Below are 21,267 nucleotides of genomic sequence, written 5' to 3' on the forward strand. Positions count from 1 at the left end.
TCTGCAAATGGCTAGCTAGTTATCCCAGCACCATTTATTGAATAAGCAATCCTTTCCCCATTGCTTGTTTTTGTCAGGTTTGTAAAAAATCAGATGGTTGTAAGTGTGTGGTCTTATTTCTGGTTGTGTATTCTGTTCCATTGGTCTATGTGTCTGTTTTTGTACCAGTACCATGCTGTTTTGGTTACTGTAGCCCTGTAGTATAGTTTGAAGTCTGGTAATGTGATGCCACGAGCTTTGTTTTTTGTGCTTAGAATTGCCTTGGCTATACAGGCTCTTTTTTGGGTCCATATGAATTTTACCATAGTTTTTTCTAGGTCTGTGAAGAATGTCAGTGGTAGTTTAGTGGGAATAGCATGGAATCTATAAATTGCTTTGGGCAGTATGTCCGTTTTCATGATACTAATTCTTTCTATCCATGAGCAAGGAATGTTTTCCCATTTGTGTCATCTCTGGTTTCTTTGAGCAGTGTTTTCTAATTCTCATTGTAGAGATCTTTCACCTCCCTAGTAGCTGTATTCCTAGATATTTTATTGTTTTGGTGGCAGTGGTGAATGGGAGTTCATTCCTGATCTAGCTTTTGGCTTGACTGTTGTCAGGGTAAAGAAATGCTAGTGATTTTCACACATTCATTTTGTTCCTTGAGACTTTGCTTAAGTTGTTTATCACCTTAAGAAGCTTTTGGGCTGAGGCTGAGGTTTTCTAGATATAGGATCATGTCATTTTTGAACAGGGATAGCTTGACTTCCTCTCATTTTTATTTGAATGTCCTTTATTTCTTTCTCTTGCCTGATTGCCCTAGCCAGAACTTCCAATACTATGTTGAATAGGAGTAGTGAAGGAGGGTATCCTTGTCTTCTGCTGGTTTTCAAGGGGAATGCTTCTAGCTTTTGCCAATTTTGCAGGATGTTGGCTGTGGGTTTGCATCGATTGCTCTTACTATTTTGAAGTATGTTCCTTAAGTACCTAGTTTATTGAGACTTCTTAACATAAATGGATTTTGAATTTTTTTTTTTGAGACAGTTTCTCATTCTGTCACCCAGGCTGGAGTGCAGTGGCATGATCTTGGCTCACTGCAATCTCTGTCTCCTGGGTTCACACCATTCTCCTGCCTCAGCCTCCCGAGTAGCTGGGACTACAGGCACCTGCCACCAAGCCTGGCTAATTTTTTGTATTTTTTAGTAGAGAGGGGGTTTCACCATGTTAGCCAGGATGGTCTCGATCTCCTGACCTTGTGATCTGCCTGCCTCAGCCTCCCAAAGTGCTGGGATTACAGGCGTGAGCCACTGCACCTGGATTTTGAATTTTATTTAATGCCTTTTCTGCATCTATTGAGAAAATCATGTGGTTTTTATCCTTAGTTCTGTTTATGTGATGAATCACATTTATTAATTTGCATATGTGGAACCAACTTGCAACCTGGGGATGAGGCCTACTGGATCATGGTGCATAGGCTTTTTGATTTGCTGCTGGATTTCGTTTGCCAGGATTTTGTTGAGAATTTTTGTACTGATGCTTGTTAAGGATATTGGATGTCCTTTATGTCCTTCTCTTGCCTAATTACTCTAGCTAGGACTTCCAGCACTATATTGAATAAAAATAGTGAAAGTGGGCATTCTTGTCTTGTTATAGATTTCAGAGGAAAGGCTTTCAACTTTTTCACCATTCAGTATGATTTTAGCTGTAGACTTTTCATATGTGGCTTTTATTGTGTTGAGATATGTTTCTTCTATATACAGCTTGTTGAGAGTTTTAATCATGAAGCAATGTAAATTTTATAAAATGTTTTCAGCATTTATTTAAACAATCATTATGTCTTTTGTTCTTCATTTTGTTAATGTGATATATCATGTTCGTTGATTTGTGTATGTTGAACCGTCTTTGAATTCCTGGAATGAATCTCACTTGATCATGACAAATGTTCTTTTTAATGTGTTGTTGAATTTGGTGTGCCAGTATTTTGCGGAGAATTTTTTGTATCTATATTTATCAGGAATATTGGCCTGTAGTTTTGTTTTTTGTTGTATCCTTATCCTTATCTTTTTGCTGTGTCGTTATCTTTTTTGTTGTATCCTTATTTGGTATTGCAGTAATGCTGGCATTGTAGAAGGACTTTGGAAGTATTCCCTTCTCTTCAATTTTTTGGAATTGTTTGAGTAGTATTGGTACTAGTTCTTTAAATGTTTAGTAGAATTCAGCACTGAAGTTGTCAGTTCCTGGACTTTTTTTCTTTTAATGGGAGACCTTTTATTAGTACTTCAATGTCATTACTTGTTATTGGTCTGTTCAGGTTTTCTGTTTCTTCATGGTTCAGTCTTGGTAAGTTATATGTGTGCAGAAATGTATTCATTTCTTTCAGGTTTTCCAATTTGTTGGCATATAGTTGTTCATAATAGTCTTTAATGATCTTTTGTGTTTCTGTGGTATCAGTAGTAATGTCTCCTTTTTATTTTTGTTTTAATTTATTTGGTTCTTCTCTCTCTCTTTTTTTTTTTTTTTTTACTTAGCTAAAGCTTTGGTGATTTTGTTTATCTTTTCAAAAAAAAAAAAACAAATTTTTGAGTTTCTGGAGAACTGAACACATAGAGGTTCCCAGAGAGTGGCATGCCCATGGAGGGCATGGAAGCTCTGAATCCCTTCCGTCAGACCTAGCTTATGCACCCTTTCATCTGTGTCTTTTTAATATCCTTTATAATAAATCAGTAAACATAAATTGACATTTGGGTGACCAAGATGGGACCTGAAGCAGGCTTCCTTTGACTTCTGCTGCTTCTCTGACAGCTGGCACCCTGGTACAGGCATGGGCTGTTTTTGTCCAGCTGAACCTGTTGAAGGTTGCAGTAGCCTTTGTAAACTTTCAGGAGGCAAAGGGGACACTTTCCCTTGGACCATGTAGTTTTGGCACTGTGAGTAGGACACCAAAGCCATTCTGCTTGAAGCTGCAGTGAAGGGAACTCAGAACCTGACAAGTCAGCAAAAGGAAATTCATAGAAAGAATATTGACAAGTACTTGTGAACACAGATTTCTCATAACTTTCAAGATAATACCATTGGAATAGGTAAAAACTTTCAGGACTTCAGTTAAAAAGCTGATGTGGGCCTGGTGTGTGGCTCATGCCAGTAATCCTAGCACTTTGGGAGACTAAGGCTGGTGGATCACTTGAGCCCAGGAGTTCAAGACAGCTTGGGCAACATGGCAAAACCCTGTCTCTACTAAAAGTAGAAAAATTAGACAAGCATGGTGTCCCATGCCTGTAGTCCCAGCTACTTGGGAGGCTGAGGTGGGAGAATTACATGAGCCCAGGAGGTGGAGATTGAGCTGAGGTGAGCTGAGATTCCGCCATTGTACTCCAACCTGGACCACAGAGCGAGACTCTGTCTCAAAATCATAATAATAATAATAATAATAGTAATAAGAAAAAGTTGATGTGCTTATGAGGATTGCTAACCCAACATCAAGCAGAACAAAAGTTAATTACATGGGACTGAACTGATAGAAGACTGAAATGCTTTTTATGACTTTTTTGGTTGAAACATTACTGATTCTTTTTATATTTTGTTTTCAGAGCCAAATACTTTTTTTTCTTTTTGAGGTATTTATAGCTTATAGCAATTGGGTAAAGTAGAGTTTTGTGAGCAAAATTAAAACATTTGCCTTTCTCTTGACCTGATTTCTCCAAAATTTGGGAATTATTTGAGTGTTCTTATTTTATGGCAATATAGATATTTTCATAAGTTCAATAAGAATCTGTTTTCCCTGACATAATGACTGGAATGACACATTTTTGGATATGACCAAACTGCTTTGAGGGAATGAAATTGACTTTATAAGACCAATAGACTTGGAGAAAGACTGGCCTGGTACATTATCTACATGGTTCTCTTACAAGATTCCTGACCTTACAGTAAGAAAAGAATATCACATTCTGACAGGCCCAGGAACCTCAAGATAATTAGGGACCTTGAGAAGACAGGAATTCACTCAATTTGTATAAGTATTACAGGCAAAGTCTAATGGTGAATTCATGGCTTGTCTTCGCAGCCTCAAGAGGCTTTGAAAGTCTAATCTGAAATTTGTTATGAAAAAGCTCCAGCAAAGCCAACTTACAAAGCTGTCTTTAGGGCTAATCACTATTCTTGTTGCATTTTGTACAAATTAGCAGGTCAAATGTCATATGGAAACTTATTTTACAAGTAAATTGGTCCTACTAAGATTTCCCTTTGGTAAAAAAATGGGGAACTAGAGAAAGAAAAACTGTTTCACAGGAAATTATATACATTTCTTATTAGATTCTAGCCCTGACCACTGTTTCTGAGTTTTTATTATTTTCCTACAATTTGGACTAAACTCTGAATTATTTCTTGGTTACAACAAATCTCGAAAGAAGAACCTGGATTTAATTTTCTTCATGATGTTTTCAGTTGGCTTCCTAATGAAACTCGTCTTTTTGTTTTTTTCATTCTTTCATACAAATTCTCTTTTTTGCTTATAATCCTTATATATTACTTCTTCCAAGAAAACTAAAATGATGGCATTTCCAAATACTACAGATGATTCAACAGGTGATAAATCAATGATCTGACTGAGGTCTCATTCTTTGCCACTCTGTGATGCCATCCTAATTTTACTTTTGAATGCTCTTAAAATAAAAATTCCTCACTGAGACTTCTCCTCCTTCCCTCCTCAGTGTGAGACAGGACTATCAGAAGTGAGCTTTCTGACACTCAGATTTTGATCAGTTATTTCAAAAATAAAGATTTTGCTCAAAAGGGGGAAATGAGAAATAAATCTTTAAATTATTAGGCTCAGAAAAGCATTTAAATTGTAATAGCAGTCAAGTCTCACTCCCCCTTGAGTGAAATAATTACCTCTTGAAGTCGCCTGCTATGTAGGCTTTAGACTAACTGACAGCAAGTAGCCATACAATGCCATACACACTATCGTTGAACAATGGATAGACAATTGGTTAATACCAATGTCATTTTGTAAACCAATGAGAATTGCTGATGAATAACTTTGGTAATCACCAACTCTCCTGATTCATCCTTTGTTTTCTTTAAAAACTTGAGTCTCTCGTTTGTTCTCTGGAGCACTCCCCAAGACAACTTGGAAGCACGTCCTGGGTTACAGTGCTAAATCTTTGTGCTTGAATAAACTCTCTTTAAACTAAAACACAAAGCAAAACGAAACAACAATGATCTTTTATATGGTTTTCTTTGGTTTCAATTTAATTTTTTTCTGCTCTAATGTTTATTATTTTTTCCTTCTAATTATTTTGCATTGGCTTTGTTCTTGCTTTTCTAGTTCCTTGAGGTGTGTCATTGGGTTATTTGAAGTCTTTCTACCTTTTTTTTTTACCTGTAAAATAAGTTTATCGGTGGTAACATGATATAATTTACTCCTGATATCTGATGTTACAAACTTTAGGGTCCTTGAGATATGCAGCATCCTTGGATGTAACTGGCAGAAACCCCATTATTTGAGCTCTCTTAATTGCTTTTGTGATTTCTTTCTGTTTCTTCCCACAAAGACCTGTTTTGTGCCTTCCACAAATGCATCCAACAAATGGAGAAATAAACTGGGACGCTGTACATTCTTAAAATCTACCTGCTTTCCACACAAGATACATTTCTTAAGGGCTTCTTTATAAGAATTTTCCATTGGAATGGGCAGGTCCTCATTGCTGGATATCTGTTTATATTGTGAACAACCTCTTCTCCATAGCACCATATGAGTCCTGGGATGTGTAAGGCTAACAGCAGCCATTACAAGGTGTGTCAACTTCTTCCTCCCCAGACCACTGCAAAGAGCAACTATAGTGGCCATGGTTCCACATTCCTCCACTGGTTCTACCTTTTATGTAGGCATTTATTGCCGAGCTTCCCTCTTTGAGATGCTTTTGCTGTATCACATAGGTTTAGGTGAAATGAGTTTCTTGTAGATAGCATATAGTTGGGTCTTGTTTTTGTTGTTGTTTGTTTGTTTGAGATGAAGTCTCACTCTGTCACCCAGGCTGGAGTGCAGTGGCGCAATCTTCGCTCACTGCAACCTTTGCCTCCCGGGTTCAAGTGATTCTCCTGCCTCAGCTCCTGAGTAGCTGGGATTACACACGCTTGCCACCATGCCTGGCTAATTTTTGTGTTTTTAGTAGAGATGGGGTTTCATCATGTTGGCCAGGCTGATCTCAAACTCCTGACCTTGTGATCCACCCACCTCGGCCTCCAAAAGTGCTGGGATTACAGGCATGAGCCACTGTGCCCGGCCATGGGTCTTGTTTTTTATCCATTCAGTCATTCTTTGTCTTTTAACTGGATAATTTAATCCATTTATATTCAAGGTTATTATTGATAGGTAAGGGTTTATTACCACCACTTTATTTGTTTTCTGGGTTTTTTTTAGACCTTTTCTTCTTTTTCCCTCTATTACTGTCTTCCTTCATGGTTAAGTGATTTTTTCTAGTAGTATGTTTTGATTCTGTGCCACTTATTTTTAGTATATCTATTACAGGTTTTTGCTTTGTGTTTACCATGTGTACAAAAAACATCTTATAGTTATAACAGGTTATTTTAAATTGATAATGACTTAATTTGACTGCAAAGAATAAAAGTAACAAAAATAAACTCTCCACTAATATGCCCCATCTTGACTTTTTCATGTTTCAATTTACATCTTTTTATATTGCCTATCTTTTAACCAATTGTTGTAGTTACCATCATGTTTAATAGTTTTGTCTTCTGTCTTCATACTTAAGAAATAAGTGATTTACTTGCCCCAATTGCAGTATTAGGATATTCTGAATTTGTCTTTTTTTCTTTTATTAGTGAGTTTAATACCCTTAGATATTTTCTTGTTACATGTTAGCAACCATTTCTTTCAAATTGAAGAACTCCCTTGGGCATTTCTTGTAACACAGATTTGGTGATGATGAATTCCTTCTGCTTTTGTTTGTGTGGGAAAGTCTATCTTTCCTTAGTATCTGAAGAATAGCTATGCTAGGCACAGTATGCTCGGTTGGTAGTTTTTTCCTTTAGCACATCAAATACAGCATTCCACTCTGTCCTTGCCTGCAAGGTTTCTGCTGAGAAATCCACTGAAAGCTGTATTGGGTATCTCTTGCATTTGGTTTGTTTCTTTTATCTTGCTGCTTTAAACATTCTTTCTTTGTCTTTGATTTTTTTAAATTTGATTATAATGTGCCTTTGGGATTTCCTCTTTGGGCTGAATTTTATTGGTAACTTCTGAGCTTCTTGTACCTGGATGGTGTCATTTTTTTTTCAGATTTGGGAAAATTTTATCCATTATTTATTTAAGTATGCTTTCTAGGCCTTTTCTCTTTTGTCTCCTTTGGGAATGTCTATTATGTGGAAATTAGTTCACTTGATGGCGCCCCACAATTCTTGTAGGCCCTGTTCACTCTTTTTTTAAATTCTTTTTTCTCTTTACTCTTCTAATTGGGTAATTGGGGTTATCTGGGCTTCATAAAACTGGATGTCTATTTCCCTTCCCAGATGTGGGAAGTTTTCAACCATTATTTCCTTAAATAAGTTTTCTACCACTTTCTCTTCCTCTTCTCTTTGTAGAAATCCCATAAAGCATATATTGGTATGTTTGATGATGTTCATAAGTTCCCTAAGTTCTCTTTACTTTTAAAAAATTATTTCTGTTTTTTTTTTGTTCCTCTGACTGGATAATTTCAAACGATCTCTCTTTGTGCACACAGATGCCTCTTCTTCTACCTGATCAAGTCTGCTGTTGAAGTTTCCTCTGAAATTTTTCAGTTCGGTCATTGTGTCCTTCAGCTCCAAAATTTATTTTCTTTTATCATCTCTATGTCTTTGTTGAAGTTCTCATTTTGTTCATGTATTGTTTTCACGATATCATGTGGCTTTCTTTCTGTGTTCTTTAATAGTTCACTGAGATTATTTAAGACACTTATTTTGAATTCTTTTCCAGGCAGTTCTTAGGTCTCCATCTTTTAAAAGATCAGTTATCGGTTTTATTGTGTTCTTTTGGCATCGTTGTATTTTCCTGATTCTTTGTGATCCTTATGGCTTTGCACTGGTGCCTGTACTTTTGAAGAAGGAGTCATCTCTTTTAATCTTTACAGGCTGGCTTCAGCAGGGAAACCCCTTCCCAGTCAGGCTGGCCAGAGATTCTGAGTGGGCTGGCTGGTGGGATCCATAGGCTGGAAAACTGCTGGGGTCAGTGGGTAAGCAGGCTTGCTGCTGTGGTCCATGGGCAGGTGGCCTGCTGCTGTGCGCCACCAGCATGCCGTTGAGGTCTGCATGTTGGTTGTTGAGAGCCCTCATCTATTTCTGTTGTTCTTAGCAGCCCCCAGGCAATCTAGCCTTTCTGATTCACTCAGTGTTCTGGGTGAGGCATAACAGAAGTGAGCCTCTCAGGCAGTAAATCAAAAGGCTACAGAAGAGTCAGATGCTCACTGCATGCTCTCTTTCCCCCATGGGAGAACTTATGGGCCAAGGAGATCTGTCTTGGTGCTGCATTCTACTGGCCTAGAGGAGGCTTGGTGCTGGTAAAGTAAAAATATTCTTACCCTTTTCAATGTGTCTTTTCTCATTTCTGTGCCCCATCAAGGTGTTGAATACTCTTGCTTGGAGTCCAGAGCTCTCAGAAAAGTAATTTTATCTATGGATGGTTATTAAATCAGTATTTCTGAGGGGAACAAGGGCTGGCACTTCCTATTCTGCCATCTTGCAGATGTCACTTCCAGAATTCTTTCTTAAGCAGAATTTGCCCCCTTAATTTCCCTGGAGGGTTTCCCAACATAAACTATTGTGTTCAGAGACATTAGGAACATTTCTCCCAGTTCATAGCTTAGGTCCAAATAACTTTTCCAGGCCTGCTTTTCTGCCAACCATTTCATGTTTCATGGAGCAGCCATAGGGCAGTGGTTTCTCACCTGGGGGTGACGGTATAGTGGTTTTAACTCCCGGGGGACATTTGGCAATGTATGGAGACAGTTTTGGTTTCATGACTTGGGAGGGGATCTTACTAGCATTTAGTGGAAAGAGGCCAGGAAAGAGTGCTGCTAAACACACTACAATACACAGCCCAAAGTGTCAAACTTATTGAAGTTGAGAAGCCCTACCCTATGAGTACAATTAGTAAATAATTAATACATATAAAGTACTTAGAAAGTCTCTGGGGCAATAGTGAGTGCTCAATAAATGCCAGCTATTTATAGGGATGGTCTGAATGATATCCCATTGTTGTACCAAACTGCTTGTTGACATTCAGTTTCATATTTAACTGTGAACTGCATAGAAGCATGTGACCCTCATGTGAGCATCAGCCTCCCTTCACTAACATAGTCCTTTGTGCGTATGAATCACTCCTACATGAGAATGGAGCAGTAGAAAGAAAGGGCCAATCCCCTGATTGAAGATGAACATCCTTATCTCTGAAATTCTAAGGCAGAGTTAGAAGAAAAGAGGTTGGAGTGCATTTCTGATTAACTTTGTAAATTTTAAAATTCCTACAGTTAAGTGAATTTGAATTTGGTAACAGAAAAAGTATAAAATTACTCTATTTCATAAAAGAAACAGAAATGATCTTTTGTCTTTTTCATGTATAAATTTGGCTGTGACCCACAGAAGTATGAAGATATGGTTTCCACACCAATGTTAGGCCTTCTCAAGGAGCTTAGAGTGTGTCGGTGGAGAGGGAGAAGCCCAACGGGAGATCTTATTCCACCTCTGCACGTCTTCAGGACCCCTGTGGAAACATGTGATCTCTAACAGTCTCTCTGGGGCTCTGCCCACCCCCAGCAGTGTCACCTCACATCACCGCACAATAAGAACTTTCTCATCATGAACATAGCTTTCTCTGGAGAAGCTGGGAAGTGCTTAACTATGCCAGAAGCTGGACAATTCAGGTAGAAGTGTAAATGTTGGCCTAACCTTCAAAGGACAGAAATAGCTTTCTTTGAAAGTTCTCAAAGGTGTTTCAGAACTCTGGAAAATTTTAAATCTTAAAATAACACTACAATTGTCCATTTGTCTTGGGGATGCCTGTGCGGAGTGAGAGTGAATCCCTAAATTTGACTTTCCGTCTCTCCTCCACTGCAGGATGTGGTTGGGCTTTTTCGTCCTTGGGCTGCCAAAACTGAAAAGCACCTTGCTCCACTCCAGAGGAATGTGTTCAGTGTCCTTTATAGAACCCACTTGTTTCCTGGCCTGGAAGGGGGATTGTCCCGGTGCACAGCCGGGCTGTCACATGTGTGACGTGTTAGCTGTCCCCCTCCCAAACATTAGCAAAGCATAGTACTGCGAAAGCAAATGTGGCTCCCAGGGCACCGCTCACAGGCTGTCACCAAAGCTTATGATCCCCGAGCTGACTGGGAATGGGGAATGTCAGGGAATACACAGTCTCCGCCCCCTTCTCCTTCAACTCTCACCCTTGGGCACATCACTCACGTCTCCTAAATCATCCCATGGTTTAGGAGTCAGGCAGTGATACACATGCTCTGAGCAGATTCTCAGGTGCTCTTAAAAGCTGCCAATGCTAATATTGCCCTGGAAAACAATGATGAGTATTTTAGAGCGACCCACTCACTGGGTGAATGCATTGAGTCAGCCCATCCCCCTGCCTTCACTGACTGCACTGCGGTGGGGTGGGTGGTGGTGTCTGTCCCTCTCTCTCTGCCTTCACTCCTAACTGACAGCTCCTGCCACCCTGATGCTCAGGTTTCATCATCCCATATACTCTGGGTCTTGTTCCGACTCTACAAAGAAAAGGTGCCACGAGGACTGTGACAGAGTATGACTATAATTCGGTAGAGGTCTCATCTCAACTCCTTGTTTTACATACCATGTGTTAACTGAGGCCACATGGAGAGGGTAATGTGAAGTGTTACCTGAAGGACGGTGGCAGAGCTCTGTGCACTGGCTGCCCCGAGGGGGCAGAAAGGAAGGGAGGGAGGGAGGAAAACAGTAGGGAAGAAGGAAGCCACTCTCTGCCCGCCCCCTGCCCCATCTCAGGCCCTAGCCCTCTGCCAGGAGCGTCTCCTGAGGCTGAAAGTGCCCCCTCCCGCTCTCAGACTCTGCGCTGCCATCTGCCTTGCTTCTCTCGGTACCACTTCCCCTGCTCTCTTTTGAATCGGATTCTCTCCTTCAAACTCCAGCTGATCCAGCCCGCACATGCCAGGCCCGTATGTAGATTCGTCTGTTGCCACCGTCCTCCAAGCCCTAGGGAGGGGTTGAGCTCCGTGGAAGGCCTCTGATGGGAGGGACACGACTCGGAGGCTGAGCAGCACAGGACACCGTGGTAAACTGGGATTCTTCTTTGCCTTTCTCAGGGAGGCAAAAGGTGCAGAGGCCTGCAGTGTGCTGTGAGCGACAGTGCCAGCTAGTGGCGCACGACTTACATCGCTAGCTACAGGGTTTCTTTTCTTTTTCTTTCTTTCTTTTTTTTTTTTTTTTTTGAGGCAGTCTCACTTTGTCGCCCAGTGGCACAATCTCAGCTCACTGCAACCTCTGCTGCCCAGGTTCAAGCAATTCTCATCGGTCAGGCTCCCGAGTAGCTGGAATTACAGGCATGCTCCACCACACCCAGCTAATTTTTGTGTTTTTAGTAGAGAAGGGGTTTCACCATATTGGCCAGGTTGGTCTTGAACTCCTGACCTCAAGTGATCCGCCTGCCTCGGCCTCCGAAAGTGTTGGGATTACAGGCGTGAGCCACTGTACCCGGCCCAGCGTTTCTTGACAACAGGGAATTGGGAGGATGCAGTCAGGCCTGGCCTTTAGTGGGTTGTAGAACTCCCTCTAGGGGTAAATGCTCAATAAAAATGGCTTAGCCTGGCCAGGTGTGGCGGCTCATGTCTGTAATCCCAGCACTTTGGGAGGCCAAGGTGGGCGGATCACGAGGTCAGGAGATCGAGACCATCCTGGCTAACATGGTGAAACCCCGTCTCTACTAAAAAATACGAAAAACAAAATTAGCCGGGTGTGGTGGAGGGGGTCTGTAGTCCCAGCTACTCGGGAGGCTGAGGCAGGAGAATGGCGTGAACCCGAGAGGCGGAGCTTGCAGTAAGCCGAGATCACACCACTGCACTCACTCCAGCCTGGGCAATAGTGGAGCGAGACTCCGTCTCAAAAAAAAAAAAAAAAAAAAAAAAGCCTTAGCCTGAAGAACACTGCCTTGCTTTCCATTTGGATTCTTTTCCTGTAGTTTGAATAAAGACGTAAGTTTTATAAAAATGTCTAGCCTTATTTTATGCATGTGCCCTGAGAAAGGTCTTAGACTCATTTACTGAAAGATGAAAGCAGCTATGTTTCTGAAATGAAGTCACTCTTCAATCACTTACTGCCTAGCAGGCAGCCACTGCCAAGTCCATTTTCCTGTTTTTATTGGAAAAAATATCATATCCCTTCCTTTAAATTTGTTTTTGATTCAAAAAAAATGGTTCTGAGATGTTAGAACATGCATGCTATGTGTCAAAATCTAATATTCACCAAAATCTAATAGTCATCAAACACTAGAAGCATTTAAGAAGAGGGCCGGGCATGGTGGCTCATGCCTGTAATCCTGGCACTTTGGGAGGCTGAGGCGGGTGGATTTCCTGACCTCAGGAGTTCGAGACCACCCAGGGCAACAGGGTGAAACCCTGTCTCTACTAAAAATACAAAAAAATTAACCAGGTGTGATGCCGTGTGCCTGTAGTCCCAACTACTTGAGAGGCTGAGGCAGGAGAATCGCTTGAGCCCCAGTGGCAAAGGTTGGAGTGAGCCAAGATCATGCCACTGCACTCCAGCTTGGGCCACAGAGTGAGACTCTGTCTCAAAAAAAAAAAAAGAAAAGAAAGAAAGAAAGAAAGAAAGAAAGAAAGAAAGAAAGAAAGAAAGAAAGGAAGGAAGGAAGGAAGGAAGGAAGGAAGGAAGGAAGGAAGGAAGGAAGAAAGAAAGAAAGAAAGAAAGGCTAAGTGCTGATTGGCTGCATGGAGGTGAATGGGCTTCCTTGCGATTAATGAGGCACAGCAGAAATGGAAGACGGGGAGGGCTTGAGGATGCTGTCCCAGGACAGTCCAAGGGACACAGCAGGGGAAAGAGATGTCCGGGCAGCAAGAGACGGAGAGCAAAGCTTGGGCCCTGACAGCATGGACCTACTTCTTTGAATCCCAGAAGGCAAAGTGCATACCCAGCCTACTGTGAGCTCATCCTCATCCCTGCCACTCAATTCACAGTTCTAAGAGTTGATACAGAAAATTAATTATATTTCATATATTCAATAGGTTAGACACAAACATTTCCTAATTAACTTTATTTCTAATAACATTACACCCCCTGCCAAAGCAATATTCTTATCTGAGGCCAGAGTTTGCAGTGGGAAGATGTAGAAAAGGAGAATGGGATCTATCCTGGTCTGGGAATTCTGTAAGAGTCTAGGAAGGCAGATGGAGCATGTGATAGCCTGATGACACGACAATTTGTCACAGACTCCTGAAGAAACCGCTAGCATTCTAAATGCGCAACTCATGGGCGTCATGATTTCATTTCTCTTAAAACCTGTGACTTTCCTGCGAACAATTTCTTTTCATAAGAATAAACTTGACATCCTCCACGTACGAATAATAGAAAGTTCTGTGCTGGTGTGAGAAGCACTCATGGAGGCCTCTGTCCCACACTGTGGTCTGAGAGAGCTTTCAAGTAAGACACATTTTAAGCCAGCAGCTTAGATTGATAGGTAGATAGATAAGTAGATGGATAGATAGATAGATAGATAGATAGATAGATAGATAGATAGATTATAGATAGATAGATAGATATAGTAACTGATTTCAGTAGGGAAGAATTATCATTTGGCCAGTTAAGGATAAAATGTCTTACTACATAAGGTTGGACTTTTATCCTTCTTATCCCCAAAAAACATATCCTGATTTTCCCCAGTTCTGCCTGTATTTGATATATAACAGGATTACAGTACCAAGATGTATATATTTAATCAAGTGAACTTTTGCTTGGCTGTGAGGCCCTCTGCTACAGTTTGAATGTGTCCCCTGCAAAATTCAGGTGTGGAAACTTAATGGCCAATGTGATAGTATTAAGAGGAGGGACTTTTGCAGGTGATTAGACCACGAGGGCTCTTTCTTCTTGAGTGGGATCAGACCCTCATAAAAGGGGCCTCACAGAGCATTCAGCTGGCTTGCCCTTTTGCCTCCCACCATGTGGTGACACAACCTTCCTTTCCTTTGGAGGACGCAGCAACAGGCACCATCTTGGAAGCGGAGACCTGGGCCCTCGCCAGGCACCGAACCTGCTGGTGCTTGGATCTTGGACTTCCCAGCCTGCAGAACTGTGAAAGAATAAATTTCTGTTCTTTATGAATTACCCAGTCTGCAGTATTTTGTTACAGCTGCACACACAGACTATGACACCCCCAACATGGAAGGTGCAGGACCAGCTCCATAGGGCATCAGATGCTGTGACCCACTTGGAAGGAAGTTAGAGGACTGCACTGAAGTGTCTGAAGAGCAAGCTCCCCTTTGCACAACCTCACTTTCATGTTGGTTTGGGGTAGCATGTGGGGGGCATTCCTTGGATGGAGATTTCACAGTTCTGTGTATGTCCTGCTTCACGCCACCTCTGATGAGCCCCTGGTGGAAACAAGAAACACTCCCCAGAAGGGAAGAGAGATCTTGATTCTAGGCCCATCATATCCTAAGGGAGGACTCCTTGAAGAATTCTTTTAAAAAAATATTTTTTTTAAATTTTAGTAAAATATACATAACATAAAGTTTACCATTTTAGCCTTTTTTGGTTTCTTTTGAGACAAGATTTTGCTTCCTCCCAGGCTGCCGCGGTGTGGTGTGATCACAGCTCACTGCAGCCTAAGAACTCCCAGGTTCAAGCTATCCTCCCACCTCAGCCTCCCCAGTAGCTGGAACTGTAGGCACACGCCACCATGCCCAGTTAATTTTTAAATTTTTGTAGAGATGATAGCAATCCACTTGGAAGGAAGTTAGAGGACTGTGCTGAGGTGTCTGAAGAGCAAGCGCACCTTCACACAACCTCACTTTCATGTTGGTTTGGGGTAGGTTGTGGAGGGTATTCCTTGGATGGAGATTTCATGGTTTCTGTTGCTGGGTTGCTTTCAAACTCCTAGCCTCAAGTGATCCTCCCACCTCAGCCTTCCAAAGCACTGATTTTAGCCATCTTTTAAGTGTAGAGTACAGTGGGATTAAACACATTCCATACTGTTGTGTAACCAGTCTCAATAACTCTTTAATATTGCAAAACTGAAAATCTGTCCCCATTAAATACCATTTTTCTCCCCCCCAAAGACTCTGTCTTTATGAGCTTGATGCCTCTAGGTGCCTCATGTGAGTGGACTCACACAGGAATTTTACTTTGTGATTGGCTTATTTCAGTAGCATCATGTCCTCAGTGTTCATCCTTAGTGTAGCATGTGTCAGAACTCCCTTCTGTTTCCAGGTTGAATGACGCTCCACTGTGTGCATAGACATTGTGCATATCCGCTCATCCCTCCATAGACATGTGGGTTGCCTCCACCTGCTGGGCATCGTGCCCCTGTGCACATGGGCACCCGGGTCTTGCTCTGGCGCTCCCCTCCTGCCTTCTGGGGTGAGAGCATTCGGGATGTGCTATAGGGAAATGGTATGATTTTAAAATGGAAGTGTTTCAGCCAGGCGCGGTGGCTCACGCCTGTAATCCCAGCACTTTGGGAGGCTGAGGCGGGCGGATCCAGGGGTCAGGAGATCGAGACCATCCTGGCTAACACGGTGAAGCCCCGTCTCTACTAAAAATACAAAAAATTAGCCGGGCGTGGTGGCAGACGCCTGTAGTCCCAGCTACTCGGGAGGCTGAGGCAGGAGAATGGCGTGAACCCGGGAGGCGGAGCTTGCAGTGAGCTGAGATCACGTCACTGCACTACAGCCTGGGCGACAGAGCAAGACTCCGTCTCAAAAAAAAAAAAAAAACAAAAAACAACAAAAACCCAAAAAACCAAAAAAATAAAAATAAATAAATAAATAAAATGGAAGAGTTTCACTCTCCCAGAAGCATGGCCCACCAAGTTTTGGAGGGGGGAGGGGGCAGGGTGAAGGATGAAACTGGGCAGGAAAACATTTTGGTTAGCGAGTGTGGCAGAGCTAGGGGTGGGTATTTGTGATGCTTTCTGAAATGTGGTTGGTTTTTGGAAAAAATGCCAGTAAGGACCCAGGTGCAAGAGCCGTAGGGCATCCCAAAGTAGGGGGTCCCTCAGCTTCCATGGCAAAGCTGCCTCTGCTCCAGCCTTAGCCCTGCCCCCCCGCCGCCCCCCCCCCCCGACCCCAGTTTGGATACCTGAAGCCTACCCCAGGCGATTGAACACAAAGCATTTCACTAACTTTCACAGCCTGTAAGCTTCACCAGCTGAGCAGAAGCTGCGGTTGGGCTGGGTGCATGACCTGCAGCCCTGGAAGTGAGGGCTCAGAGAGTCCCCTCAGTCACAGCTGCATGAAGCCCAGATGCTTCTCATTATGTTTCTGTCCAAGCTGCCTGGCCAGGAGGTTTGACCCAGCCCTTGGTTTGTACTTCCTGCACGGTGGCATCCAAGCGTGTTTTTTAAAAAAACACATATGTAAAAATGGTTAACCATACTCAACCTCTTCTGTCTCTGAGGAACAAGCAGTTTCTGTTGCATGTTCTAGATACTTGCTACCCAAAACAAGGCCCACAGGCCAGTGTCCTTAGCATCACCTGGGAGCTGGTTAAGAAAGTGCAATCTCAGGCCTCACCCCAGGCGCTGAAACAGAACCTGCATTTTCACAAGGGCCTTGGGTGTTTCGTGTTCAAATAATAAAGACTGACACCCCGGGACAGAAACAGTGGGGTGGGGCGGAAGGAGGGACAGGGGCAGTGGGGGTTAGATGGGGTGGGGGTGGGGGCTGTGCACCATTCTAAGTGCTTCCCAGGACTAATATATTTACTTCTCACTGCAGCTTGAAGCAATGTTATCTTGCCCTCAGTACAAAGTGAGCCCCAGGAAGTAGAGGCTCACCGCGGGTTTGGGCTAGGATAGGGTGCACCCACCATGTGGCCCAGGCCCTCACACCCACCTGGCTCCAGAGCATGGGGCCCGCTCCCCATTCTCCAGGCCTGGACCCTCTGTGCACCAACACCCGACTCATGAAAGAGCCAATAGGCTTCAACATACTATCTGTGGGACGTGTTTACTAAGCTGTGAAATTCCAGACACATATTCTCATGACTATTCTAATCCCTCCCATTACATGCAGTATGTGATGCGGAGGATGACGATGATATTTACTCCAAGATCATGGTTTTCTAGCATTCCTGGAAGCAGGACTGTGTCATTTTGCCAATACTCTACTCTTAGAAATACTGTAAGTTTTCACGTGATTTGGGTACAATTTGTCACTCTGTCACCCAGGCTGGAGTGCCGAGGCACAATCACAGCTCACTGCAGCCTTGACTTCCTGGCAATCCTCCCACCTCAGCCCCCTGAGTAGCTGGGATCACAGGCACACACTACCAAGCCTGGCTAACTAAAAAAAAAAATTGTAGAGACAGGTTTTTACTATGTTGCCCAGGCTGATAAACTCCTGAGCTCAAGCAATCCTCCCACCTCAGCCTCCCAGAGTTTTAGTATTACAAGCATGAGCCACCACACCCCGCTTGGCATAATTTCTTGCCTTTCTGGTAGAGAAGAGATTTCTCCCAGCCCCAGAGGTACCCACTCTTCTTTCCCAAAATTTTCAGAATGGACAGCACAAGCCTAGTGGCTCGATCCTGGCTGACTCCTGGCTTTCTTCTCTGCAGCGTGACATGGAAATACCAAGACCTTTCTTGATCATTGCTTCAGAAAGAGCTGGAAAAATTGCTTTACTCTCCTTAAACTCGAGTTCATTTACTTTTTCAAAGAGCGTTGGAAGGTATCATTCATTATGTTTGTGTCAGGGATGATTGGAGAAATTCATTTCCTCTGTTAAAGCCATTATATTTAGACTCCCTCCCTCAAGGTGATTCTCTGTTTTGGATATATATACGTATATAGACTTTTTCATTTCTGAAGCTATTAGTAACACGTGTTCAATTACTGGTGTAGAAAATGGATCTTAGACTGCTCTCAGTTCTTCAACCTGCATGTGTGGTCTATTTGTGATCCTAGAATCGATTTTGTTTCAAACAGCATTAAAGAAGAAACAAAAGGAATAGAGTAGAAACTATTGGAATGCACCATGCATTAGGTTTGCTAGGGCTGCTGTAACAAAGTCCCATAGACTGGAGGGCTTACACAACAGAAATGGATTGTCTCACTGTTCTGAAGCCTGTAGATTCAACATCAAGGTGCCTGCAGGGTTGGTTCCTTCCGAGGCCTTCTCCCTGGCTTGTAGACAGCAAGATGCCTTCCCCCTGTGTCCTCTGATGGTCATTCCCCTGCATCTGTCTGTCCTCATCTCCACTTCTTATAAAGACACCAGTCCTACCGGATTAAGGCCCACCCATATGAGTTCATTTCAACTTACCTCTATGAAGACCCCCCTCTCCAAATGAGGGAACATGCTGAGGTCCTGGGGGTCGGGGCTTCAACATATGAATTTTGCAGGAGGGACATAATTCGGCCTATAGCACATCATATCAGGTATTTTTTGTGAAACTTTAGCTTCAAGTGCGTGGTCTGTGTGTGTGTGTATGCATGCGCACATGTATTGGGTTACAATTTTAAGTATATTTCCTATGATGTAGGTGTTGGTCAAAAATATCTGAAAAACACAAGCTTGATTTGATGGTAGGGTGTCCTGTCAAGTGTGTTTCTCTTTGGGATGATGCAGAGATCGTGGGATCTGGAAGCCAGCTGGGAAGGCTAGGAATGAACTGTGAGATGAGCTCTTCTTGCACGTCTTGCCCCGCTTTATTTAATTATTGTTTGTTTTCTCTAGTTTTGGGTAATATCCAGGTTGTTGGCAGGTTTTGTGGAATTGTAGAATCAAGGTCCCATTTCCTTCCCAGTCACCAGCCTGGTTCTCAGCTCCCTCAGGTTGCTCTCAGGTTCTTGTTACATGGCCCCTCTATCCCAACAACCTAGAACCTCCAACTCATGCATACCCCCGCACCCACCTCCACCTACTGACTTTTGTTTTTGCCACCAGCTGGAGAAAACTCTTGGCCTTTAAGGCAAGAGTGATTAAATGAGGCCCACCCAGACAATCCCCCTTTTGATGACTTCAAAGTCAAGTAATTTGGTAACCTTAATTACATCTGCAAAATACCCTTTGCCAGGTAAGAGAGCGTAACTGTGAGCAAGGTGCTTCATCATGTTTGCTGTCCCAGGGATTAAGGTGAAAAGCCCTGGGGTCATTTTAAATTCTGCACCATTCAAGCCTAAAGCCTGTGAGGTGACTGGTGAACTTGCTCTTGGTCAGTAGAGATGCAAACTATTGGTGTCCAGTGGAGAAGATCATATCAAAGCCTTCAGCATTTTGTTCAGTCTTATTTTTTTTTTTTTCCTTTTGCCACTTCAGGACATTAGCCAGGTTTGCCACCACTTGGCAAACTTATTTCAGTGACATTTTTCCTCTTTCCTTTCCGATTGATGCTCTAGACCTTGTTCCATGAACTCCGTTTGAACCAACTTTGCCTTCCTGGTGAACTCTTCACTGATGAGTTAAATAAAGCAGCAACACACGTCCATTCTATATTTGTAAGGAGTCATCTGTTTGCTTTTTGACAAGGGCGATTCAATTTTCCCTGAGGCCTGTCGTTGCAGCTTCTGAGACTTTGTTTTCTCTTTTCCTTACCAGAAACCCCCTACCGTCCGAGCTCACGTGTGGCTCTGCTTTAAAGTGAAATGGTGTGAAAATTCACCGTGTGCATGGCTGTGCCTCATTAAAACCTTGCACGGTGACCAGCTACTCAAAAGGGAGCTCAGTGGAAAGCACTCTGCCATATGTAGGAGTTTCTGGAACAGGGGTGATAGAAAAGTTGAACAAAGACAAAAAAAAAATCACGCAGATCACAGTTGTGACTTTAGCTTTTTTTTTCCTGGGCATGGCAGCTGGGCAGAAAGGAAAAGCCTGGGCACTGCCTGGACATACCAACCCTGGAAAACGACAACCGCGGACAGTTCCCCAGACCTGAGACAGAGCTTTCCTCAGCTGGAAAGCCAGAGGAATACTACCTGCCGCTCCGCCTTCACCTGCGGCCCCATCTCCGTTCTAAGGCAAACTCTGACGGGCACTAAATTGGTCCTGTTCTCAGGCTAGGATAGGACAGATGACCCAGTTGCAGGCCCCAGCCTGTCCCTGGCCAGGCCTTTGTTACCACCCAGGCAACATCTTTTGAGACGAATCTTCCCTGACACTGCCGTGAGGGCCCATTCTGCAGTGCTCCTGGAACCCCACCTTTACCTGAAATTGAAAAAGAATCCTGTCCACATCTTGCAGTAATGCTGCCTGCTCCATGTACACCCCACCCCACACGTGAGGGTCCTGTCTGCTTTTGGGGGTCTGGCAGAAACCTTCATGGGCTTCTGGGAGAGGAACGGAACCTCCACTGTGGCTGGAGGCGCTGGAAAGCCTCCCTTAAGAGAGACTGCAGTGTGTTATGTGCTCACGTGCCCTCCTGAGTCATAAGGTTGTCCGAGCAAGTGGTGCTGCTTGTTCCCACTTTGCTCAGATGCACACCCTCTTTTCCTTCAATTCCTGAAGCTGAAAGATGGAAACCCAGCTCTCCCTCCATGTCCAGTATCCCACCTCCACACAAGAGACCACATTGAAATATTTAAACGTGACATTTCCAAGGTTTTGCACAGAGCCCAAGGGGAAGGATCTTAGCGTGTCTAGAAGTAGTGTGGTACTTGCTCTCACTGACTTTTAAGAATGAAGCCATGGCCCCTCACGGTGAGTGTTACAGTTTTTAAAGTTTCATGTCCCCAGTTCATTCTTTCAGATGCTCAGGTGTGTCCAGAGTTTTCTCCTTCTGGTGAGTTCCTGGTGTTGCTGACTTCAAGAGTGAAGCTGCAGACCTTGGCAGTGAGTGTTATAGCTCTTAAAGGTGTTATAGCTCTTAAAGGTGGCAGATCTGGTGTTCCTCCTTCCACTGGGTCAGTGACCTTGCTGACCTCAAAAATAAAATCGCAGACCTTTGTGGTGAAGTTACAGCTCATAAAAGAGCCGTGGAACCACACAGCAACCAGCAGAAAAGCGAAAGAATAACACCTCTACAGCGGTGAATAAAACGGGAATGGTGGCTGCTATCGGTACGGGCGGCCTGCTTTTATTCCTTTAT

General features: G+C 43.2%; 1 long non-coding RNA gene and 1 pseudogene across 1 annotated transcript in view, besides 3 other annotated features; one reads left to right on the forward strand and one right to left on the reverse strand.

Moving 5' to 3' along the window:
• The window catches only part of LINC02346 (long intergenic non-protein coding RNA 2346), a 150,761-nt gene that overhangs the window by 20,390 nt on the left and 109,104 nt on the right, over positions 1 to 21,267 (forward strand). The window lies entirely within an intron of this gene.
• On the reverse strand, positions 5,297 to 5,846 carry MRPS18CP5 (MRPS18C pseudogene 5; annotated as a pseudogene).
• Positions 7,717 to 8,218: an enhancer, noted in NCBI's record as "NANOG-H3K4me1 hESC enhancer chr15:26175613-26176114 (GRCh37/hg19 assembly coordinates)". NCBI's record gives its function as "activates a minimal SCP1, AML or CMV promoter by ChIP-STARR-seq in primed H9 embryonic stem cells {active_cell/tissue: H9 hESC(primed)}" and the evidence as "EXISTENCE:reporter gene assay evidence [ECO:0000049][PMID:30033119]".
• Positions 8,219 to 8,718: an enhancer, noted in NCBI's record as "NANOG-H3K4me1 hESC enhancer chr15:26176115-26176614 (GRCh37/hg19 assembly coordinates)". NCBI's record gives its function as "activates a minimal SCP1, AML or CMV promoter by ChIP-STARR-seq in primed H9 embryonic stem cells {active_cell/tissue: H9 hESC(primed)}" and the evidence as "EXISTENCE:reporter gene assay evidence [ECO:0000049][PMID:30033119]".
• Positions 20,091 to 20,591: an enhancer, noted in NCBI's record as "H3K27ac hESC enhancer chr15:26187987-26188487 (GRCh37/hg19 assembly coordinates)". NCBI's record gives its function as "activates a minimal SCP1, AML or CMV promoter by ChIP-STARR-seq in primed H9 embryonic stem cells {active_cell/tissue: H9 hESC(primed)}" and the evidence as "EXISTENCE:reporter gene assay evidence [ECO:0000049][PMID:30033119]".

The sequence above is a fragment of the Homo sapiens genome, chromosome 15 (assembly GCF_000001405.40).
Source record: "Homo sapiens chromosome 15, GRCh38.p14 Primary Assembly".
NCBI lineage: Eukaryota > Metazoa > Chordata > Mammalia > Primates > Hominidae > Homo > Homo sapiens.